The sequence below is a fragment of the Homo sapiens genome, chromosome 11, assembly GCF_000001405.40.
Source record: "Homo sapiens chromosome 11, GRCh38.p14 Primary Assembly".
NCBI classification, from domain to species: Eukaryota; Metazoa; Chordata; class Mammalia; order Primates; family Hominidae; genus Homo; species Homo sapiens.
In genome coordinates this window covers 1,910,394-1,919,050 of record NC_000011.10, presented here as the reverse complement: position 1 = coordinate 1,919,050, position 8,657 = coordinate 1,910,394, and the positions used below count along the sequence as shown (strand labels likewise).

The window sequence follows — 8,657 nt, the reverse complement described above, 5'->3', positions numbered from 1 at the left end:
CCAGGCTGGCTGCAGTCCGAGTCTGCCATACCTCCCCCCGGGGCTGCTGCCATTGCAGGGGGCTACACATGGAGTTTGCTGGGTAAGGGTCTGGGTCCTCCCTCTAGGCCCTTTCTAACCCTGGGGCCCCACCCTGGGCACTCGCAGTGGCCGTTACCATCTGTGCCAGCATCTCCCACAGGCTCATTGTGGCGTGTGGAGACTGGTTTTCTTTCCTCAGGACTCCAGGTGGCACCGTCCGACTAGCAGACATCCTTCCTGGCCTCTGATGGCCTGTATGCTGGCCAGTGAGGCCACCAGATTGGATAACCCTGCCTCTTGGATCAGGGAAACTGAGGCACCAGGTGGGGGAGAGCAGTCTGGCACCCTGACCCACCCCCTCACTCCCCTCAGACCCCACAGGCTGAGCGTGGGCGGTGGTGTCTGCGGAACTCTTCGGTTCAGGCACAGATTGGTTCCTTCTTGGCCAGCGCCCAGGACAGGGGTGAGTCCCGAGAGGCACAGATGAGGTCCCTGTCCTCCCCAGGCTTAGAGTCAGGGACAACAGGATAACCCGGCAGGGGCTCACAGTGCCCTGGGGCCGGGTCGGGGGCCTTCCGGAAGGCTGTGGTTGGCACCTCATTCCACCCCTCCATGGAAGAGCGAGGCCGCAGAGCCCAGGGACAGGCAAGGTGTGCCTGGGGTCACACGACAAGGCGGGCTGGCCCCAGGCTGCCATTTCAAAGGACAGGGCCGGTCCCCTGCCTGCCTCCCGCTGAGTGCCCGGCACTGGGAAGGCTCTTGGAGCTGGGGTTGCTGGGAACGTCGCCGTCCTCCTGCTCTGGGTCTGTGGCTTCGTCTGCATTCCACGCCTTCCCCTCCCTGTCCATGTCCTCGATGGGCAAGGCTTTGGGGGCCACAAACAGCCCTGGCCCCTGGATATCTGTGACCAGCTTCCTGCCCACTGGGGACATCTGCAGAACTGCTCCCTCAGAGGCACGTGAGCGGGTCCCTGGGGGTCAGCGGGCCCACCCCATCCTCTCCCATGGTGGGGCCAACCTCCTTTTCCAGGCTCGCTCTGCCGGCTTCTCTAACGGAGCCCTGAGCCCACCATTCTGGTTACACGTGGTTCAGTCTGCAGGCCTAGGAAGCCTGTGCCCACCCAAGCCCTCACCCAGGCCAGGGGTCCTGAGGGGCGCACCTGAAGGTGGGTGTGCCATAACCCTGCACTGGCCCCGTGTGGCCAGCAGGGGAAGGTGCTGCCCGCCCAGCTCCTGGAGCTTTGGCAGGCGCTCTCCGCCCAGCCAGCTGAGGTCAGAGGGATAGGGCAGGTTTTATTTTGGGTATCGGCGACCTCCCCCTCGGGCGCTGGGCCTGAGGCGTAGCAGGGACTGCACAGAGCAGGCACCAGCGGCCTCGAGGGCCTGCACCAGGTAACCCATGCCCTGCTGCCATCTGGCCGGACCGGGATGGTCCAAGGAGAGGAGGCAGGGCAGGGGCCTCCTGGGGGACTGTAGACCTGGGTGGGGGCAGGGCACAAGGGAGGCCCAGCCTGGGTTGGGGACGCATTTCCACCCAGGAGGAGTCTGAGGACGGACCACGGGGCCTTGGCTCTAGGGCAGTTGTTGGGGGATGGGGGGGTTCTGAAATTGGCAAATGCTGAGCCAAGCCCAGGGAGTGGGGAGCAGGCTGTGGGAGGGAGGATGGCCTCCTGAGTGTCTTGGCTGCAGCTCCCTGCCTGGGTGGCCCCCAGATGGTGGCCGGGGCCCCTCAATCTAGGTCCCAGCACCCAGTGCGCATGGTTGGGGGTGGTGGAGACCAAGAGGGTCCTGAGCCTCTCCTCATGCCCTGAGCTGACCTGAGCCCCCAGGCTGGATCCAGCCTGAGGCCGCTCGGCCCAGCTGTGGGCTCAATCACTGCCAGGCCCAGGACAGGAGCAGCTGACACAGCACTTGGGAACTGAGCTGCTCCAGCCCTAGGTAGCTGCCTCCCCACATGCCTAGTGCTTCTGATTTTGCAGTTTCATTGACTCGTTCTGCAGATATGATGGGTGTCTTCTCTGTGGCTGGCCTAGGGGCTTGTAGCAAGGGTCACAGGGTGTCTGGTGGCTGCTCTGGCAGGCAGGACAGAGGCTAGGGGCTTCATCTGCCATCCCTGGCCAGGGGCCTCTTAGGCTGCAGGCCTTTTGAGCCTCCTGACCTCCGCATTGGGCATGGCCTGACCTCCAGGTTTCCAGGAGCAGGGGCATGGGGTTGCTGTGGCCGTGGACGGGAGGCTGCATCAGAAACACAGCAGGGCTGTGGCTGGGTAGAGCTCAGAGGGACAGGCCCTGGGTCCTTGTTCTCGAGGCTGAGCCGAGGGGTGCAGATGATCTGACAAGGGGCCAGGGCTGGTCGGGGGCGGGGTGGGCAGTGGCTGCCTCCTCAGCACTGCTGACCCCAACTACCCCCTGCCCCTGGTGCTGTCCACTCTGCACCCCAGTGCTGAGTGCCCAACTGTGGCCTTTGGGCCTGCCTCTCGGCTGCCCTTGGTCACCGTCCCAAGCGGATCAGGTGGGAAACAAGGGGAGTGCTGTCACTGGGTGGTTCCCCAGCTGGGGAGGGTGGCCTGGATCCTCTCTCAGTGGCTGGGGCATCTGAGAAAGGATGGGGGCACGTCACCTCCCTTGTGTGGGTGGTGGCTCTGTCGAGGTTTTGCTTTTCTGAACTGTGTGTATTCATGAGGCAAGCAGGGTTTGACATGAAGCCTTCAGAAAATAGTGGCTGTGAGGACCCAAGGGAATGGCAAAGTGAAGTCCAGAACATCAGAGTCTGGGGTGCTGCTCCTCGAAGGGACTTCCCAGACGCTGAAGGCTGCAGGGCTGAGTGTCAGGGCCCAGTGCAAGACCTGGGAGAGGAGGGACAGGAGGGAGGGTGTCCCCAGGCTGTCTGCTATTTCACACAGTTGTCCATTCATCCACCCATCTATTCATTCCCATGCATTCACTCTCACCTTCACCACTTCCTTTCCTTCCTTCCTCCCTCCTTCTCTTCCATCATCCATCCCTCCGTCTGTCCATCCTTTCAACCACCCATACAATCACCTACCCATCCACTCATCCCTCCATTTCATCTATCCCTCCCGCCATCCATCCATCCATCCATCATTAGTCTATCCATCCATTCATCCACCCACCTATCCATCTATCTACCCATCCATCTACCTGTCTATCCATCCATCCATCCATCTCTTCATCTATCCATCTACCCATTCATGCATCCATCCATCCCTCCCTCCCTCCCTTCATCCACCCTCCCTTCATCCATCCATCCCTCCCTCCATCCATCCATCCACACATCCACTCATCACCCCAACACACACACCTCCCCACAACACACACACACACAGAAACATCACCCCCCCAAAACACACACACATAACATCACCCCCCACAACACACACACACAGAAACATCACCCCGCACACACACACATACAAATAATATCCCCCCCAACACATGCACACACAGAAACATCACCCCCCACAACACACACACACACAGAAACATCCCAGGTGTGTGACCCCACAACACACACAAAGAAACATCATCTGAGGTGTGTGACCCCACAACACATACACACACACGCAGAAACATCATCCCAGGTGCGTGACCGCACAACATACACACACAGACACACACACACAGAAACATCATCCCACGTGTGTGACCCCACAACACACAGACACACACATACAGAAACATCATCTCAGATGTCCTATCCCACAACACACACACAGAGAATAACATCATCCCCAGGGATGTGATCCCAGAACACACACACATAGCAATATCATCCCTAAGTGTGTACACCCCACAAGACACACACACACACAGAGAAACATCATCCCAGTTGTGTGGCCCCAGAACACACACACACACACACACACACACAGAAACATCATCCCAGGTGTGTGACCCCACAAAACACACAGACACAGAGAAACATCCCAGGTGTGTGACCCCATAACACATACACACACACACTCACAAACATCATCCGTGTGTCCCCACAACACACACACAGAGAAATATCATCCCCAGGTTTGTACACCCAACACACACATACACAAACATCATCCCCAGGTGTGTGACCTCACAACACACACACAGACACACACAGAGCAACATCATCCCAGGTGTGTGACCTCACAACACACACACACACACACACACACACAGAAACATCTCCAGGTTTGTACACCCACAACACACACAGAGCAACATCTCCCCAGGTGTGTACACCCCACAACCCACACACACAAAGACACAGAAACATCCCAGGTGTGTGACCCCACAACACACACACAGAGCAACATCATCCCCAGGTGTGTGACCCCAGAACACACACAGAGCAACATCCTCCCCAGGTTTGTACACCCCACAACACACACAGAGCATCATCCCCAGGTGTGTGACCCCAGAACACACACACACACACACACACACACAGAGCAACATCCCCAGGTGTATATACCCTACAACACACATAGGCACATACACAGAGCAACATCATCCCTGGTGTGTGACTACACAACACACACACACACACACAAAGAAAAACATCTTAGGTGTGTGACCCAACAACACACACACAGACACACACACAGAGAAACATCATCCCAGGTGTGTGACCCCACACACAACACACACACACATAAGGAGCAACATCATCCCAGATGCGTGACCCTACAACACATACAGACACACAGAGAGACATCCCAGGTGCATGACCCCACACACAACACACACACACATACAGAACATCATCCCAGATGTGTGACCCTACAACACACACACACACACAGAAACATCATCCCAGGTGTGTGACCCCACAACACACACCAATGTGCACCGTGGGCCTGCACCCCCACAGCAGGCCTGCACATGGGAGTCTCAGCTACGCTGCGCCCAACCAGGCGTGTTCATTGGGTAATGCACAGGTGGGAACCGGGGTACGCCCGGGTGAAATCTGTTGGTTGGATGTCACCAATCTTGCTGTGCTGCCTGGTTCTGAAAGGCCCCCCAGGAGCACCAAATGGACAGGAGGCAAGCAGCTATGCTGGGCACAGAGGTGGTCACCACCCATGGACAGGGGCTCCGTCCCCCACGCATCCTGCAATTGGGACTGGGAGTGCAGTGGGAGCCCGTGGCAGCATGACGAGGGAAAAGGAGTCCGCGATCCCAGTGCACAGCTCGTGCTCACCGCAGAGCGCGGGGTGAGGCGTCTAGGACTGGAACGAAACGACTTGGCTTAGTGGAACAGACAGGGACTGAAGCAGAGCCTCCAAACCAGAGGACACGTGAGAGACAGTGACCAAAGCTGGCCATGGACACGAGAATGCCCCAGCCAACTGTCTGCCCTCTGCGGCCAAGTCAGAACCCAACTAACTAGAAGGCGGCCCTTTCAGCAAGGGTTAGAAAGTAAAAACACACCTGAATAGCTCAGGGATCAGAGGGGACGTGGTCAGGGAGAGTGGGTGAGGCTGGAACTGAAGGAGAATGGGAGACCCCAGAGCAAAGCCCTGGGTGCAGCTAAAACAAGACAGAGGGAAATGCGAGGCCTGGATGCTTATATCAGAAAGCGGGGGCCGGGCGCGGTGGCTCACGCCTGTAATCCCAGGACTTTGGGAGGCTGAGGCGGGCGGATCACGAGGTCAGGAGTTCGAGACCAGCCTGGCTAACACACGGTGAAACCCCGTCTCTACTAAAAAAAAAACAAAAAAAAAAAAACAAAAAAGTTAGCTGGGCGTGGTGGTGGGTGCCTGTAGTCCCAGCTACTCGGGAAGCTGAGGCAGGAGAATGGCGCGAAGCTGGGAGGCAGGTTTGTGAGCCGAAATTGTGCCACTGCACTCCAGCCTGGGCGACAGAGCGAGACTCCATCTCAAAAAAAAGAAAGGAGGAAAACCAAAAAACAAAGAAAACAAAGTATGGATTACCCCAGAACAAAAAAATAGAGAGGGGAAAGTATTAATAAGTATGCATCTAGTTTATGAAATTAGGAAATGAACAAAACACTAAAACCAAGGGAAAGAAAGCAATGGAAATAATAAGAAACATAGGAGGTTAATAGAATGAAAAATAAAAATTAATGAAGATCAACAAAATTAAATATTGCTGCTGTGTTGGCCGGGCGCAGTGGCTCACACCTGTAATCCCAGCACTTTGGGAAGGCCGAGGAGGGCAGATCACTTGAGCCTAGGAGTTCCAGATCAGTCTGGGCAACATGGCAAAAACCTATCTCTACAAAAAATGAAAATAAATTAGCCAGGCGTGGTGGCAGGTGCCTGTAATCCCAGCTCCTTGGGAAGCTGAGGTGACAGCATCACTTGAGCCCAGGAAGCGGAGGTTGCGGTGAGCCGTGATCTCGCCACTGCGCTCCAGCCTGGGCGACAGAGTGAGACTCTGGCTTAAAAATAAATAAATAATTTAGAAATGGTTTATGTGAAAAAACTAATAAATAGTCTAACATCTGGCAAAAAAATTAGTAGAAAGAGGAAGAGACACAAATAAGCAATGTCGACGAAAAGAGGAACGTAATGACGAAGGCTGCAGAGATGACATTGTGGTGAAAGAATCCCATAAACAACTTTATGACAATTTAAAAACTGAGCAAAACAGCCCATTCCCAGGAGAAATAGAACATGGAATTGACTCAAAGTGAAGTTCAAACCTTGCATAGACTAATTCATTTTAAAGACATTGAACCTTGCATTCCGAATCAGGGGTGCAAAGACAAAAAAAAAGACAAGGAACCAGTAGTTAAACCTCCTACCAAGCAAAAAACAGCAAGAATTTTTTTCAATTACATTATGACCAAGGGGGTCCTTTATTATTATTTTTTTAATTTTACCTTTTTAAAGAGATGAGGTCTTGCTCTGTCACCCAGGCCAGAGTGCAATGGTGAGATCCTGGCTCACTGCAGCCTCAAACTCCTGGGCTCAAGCGATCTCCCCCACCTCACCCTCTCACATAGCTGGGACCACAGCTATGTACCACCACACTTGGCTTTTTTTTTTTTTTTTTTTTTTTTTTAGAGATGGGGTCTCACTCACTATCTTGCTCAGGCTGGTCTCAAACTCCAGGCCTCAAGTGATCCTCCCAGCTCGGCCTCCCAAAGTGCTGGGATTACAGGTGAGACCCACCATTCCCGGCCTCGGGGGTTCTTTTTAATGTAATAATAGTTGTACATCAGAAAACTGAATGATGTAGTGATTCACAACACATAAAGCATGTAAAGACTACAAAAAATTTTGGATAAAATATAACACCACTCATAGATAGACATTCTGGTCAACTAAGAACAGAAGGGAGGTCCGGGCGCAGTGACTCACGCCTGTAATCCCAGCACTTTGAGAGGCCGAGGCAGGCGAATCACTTGAGGTCAGGAGTTTGAGACCAGCCTGGCCAACAGGGTGAAACCCCATCTCTACCAAAAATACAAAAAAAATTAGCCAGGCGTGGTGGTGGGTGCCTGTGATCCCAGCTACTCAGGAAGCTGAAGTAGGAGAATCGATTGAACCCGGGAGGCAGAGGCTACAGTGAGCTGAGATCGTGCCACTTATTAATTTATATTTTATTTTATTTTAATTTGATACAGAGTCTCACTCTGTCACCCAGGCTGGGGTGCAGTGGCACAATCTCGGCTCACTGCAACCTCTGTCCCCCAGGTTCAAGCAATTCTCCTGCCTTGGCCTCCCTAGTAGCTGGGATTACAGGCGCCCACCACCACACCCAGCTAATCTGTGTATTTTTGGTAGAGACAGGGTTTCACCACATTAGCCAGGTTGGTCTTGAACTGACCTCAGGTGATCCACCCTCCTCAGCCCCACAAAGTGCTGGGATTACAGACGTGAGCCACTGCGCCCGGCTAGTAGCAAGGAACATTTGTTCAACAAGATGTAAAAACCACAAACCAGAGAATAAAGAGATTGGTAAATTCAACAAGAAATAACTACAGTTTTTAATAAGTGAACTTCTCTTCATCAAAAGACACCATAAACCAAGCCAAAAAAAACAAGCCATCTTTTGGGAGGAGATGTTTGTAACACATATCACTGATCAAGAATTAGTTTTCACTATCTAAAAAGAAGGTAGGACACCATTAGAAAAAAGGCAAGCAACTGAATAGAAAAATGGGCGAGAGGAGGTGACAGGCAGCTGGCAGAGAAGAGAACCTGAATGGTCAGCACACCCATGAAAGGGGAAACCAAATTAAAACTGCAAAGTGGATGAACAAAATATAAACATCAGTCTGGAGAAGGAAAAGTTCATTTCTGCAGAACACCAGCTCAGCGGAGGTGAAATGATAGCGTTAAGAATGCACCATTTTGCAACCATTGATGGGATCGTTGATTGAGACAAGGATTGTCACTGGACGCCCAAGTCGCAGGTGAAAGTTAACGGGGGTCAGAATGTTCAGTTTCGAAGAACCACCTGATTGATTACTTATAAAGTTAAAAGGGTGTCTTGAAAATAGAGAACCCCAGCCAGGCACGGTGGCTCACGCCTGTAATCCCAACACTTTGGAAGGCCGAGGTGGCTGGATCACTTGGTCAGGAGTTCGAGACCAGCCTGGCCAACATGGTGAAACCCTGTCTCTACTAAAAATACAAAACTTAGCTGGACGTGGTGGCGGGTG

The 8,657-nt window shown here is 53.4% G+C and overlaps 1 protein-coding gene across 1 annotated transcript in view, besides 2 other annotated features; it reads left to right on the top strand.

The window, feature by feature from the left end:
- Nucleotides 1-1,342: 1,342 nt before the first annotated feature.
- Nucleotides 1,343-8,657, top strand: part of PRR33 (proline rich 33) — a 29,722-nt gene continuing 22,407 nt past the window's right edge. Inside the window, exon 1 of the mRNA XM_047426236.1 lies at nucleotides 1,343-1,412. The gene's annotated coding sequence lies outside the window, so the exon portion shown is untranslated. The remainder of the gene's footprint in view (nucleotides 1,413-8,657) is intronic.
- Nucleotides 1,981-2,030: an enhancer, noted in NCBI's record as "active region_4295". NCBI's record gives its function as "activates an Ori minimal core promoter by ATAC-STARR-seq in GM12878 lymphoblastoid cells {active_cell/tissue: GM12878}" and the evidence as "EXISTENCE:reporter gene assay evidence [ECO:0000049][PMID:35858748]".
- Nucleotides 2,581-2,630: a silencer, noted in NCBI's record as "silent region_3064". NCBI's record gives its function as "represses an Ori minimal core promoter by ATAC-STARR-seq in GM12878 lymphoblastoid cells {active_cell/tissue: GM12878}" and the evidence as "EXISTENCE:reporter gene assay evidence [ECO:0000049][PMID:35858748]".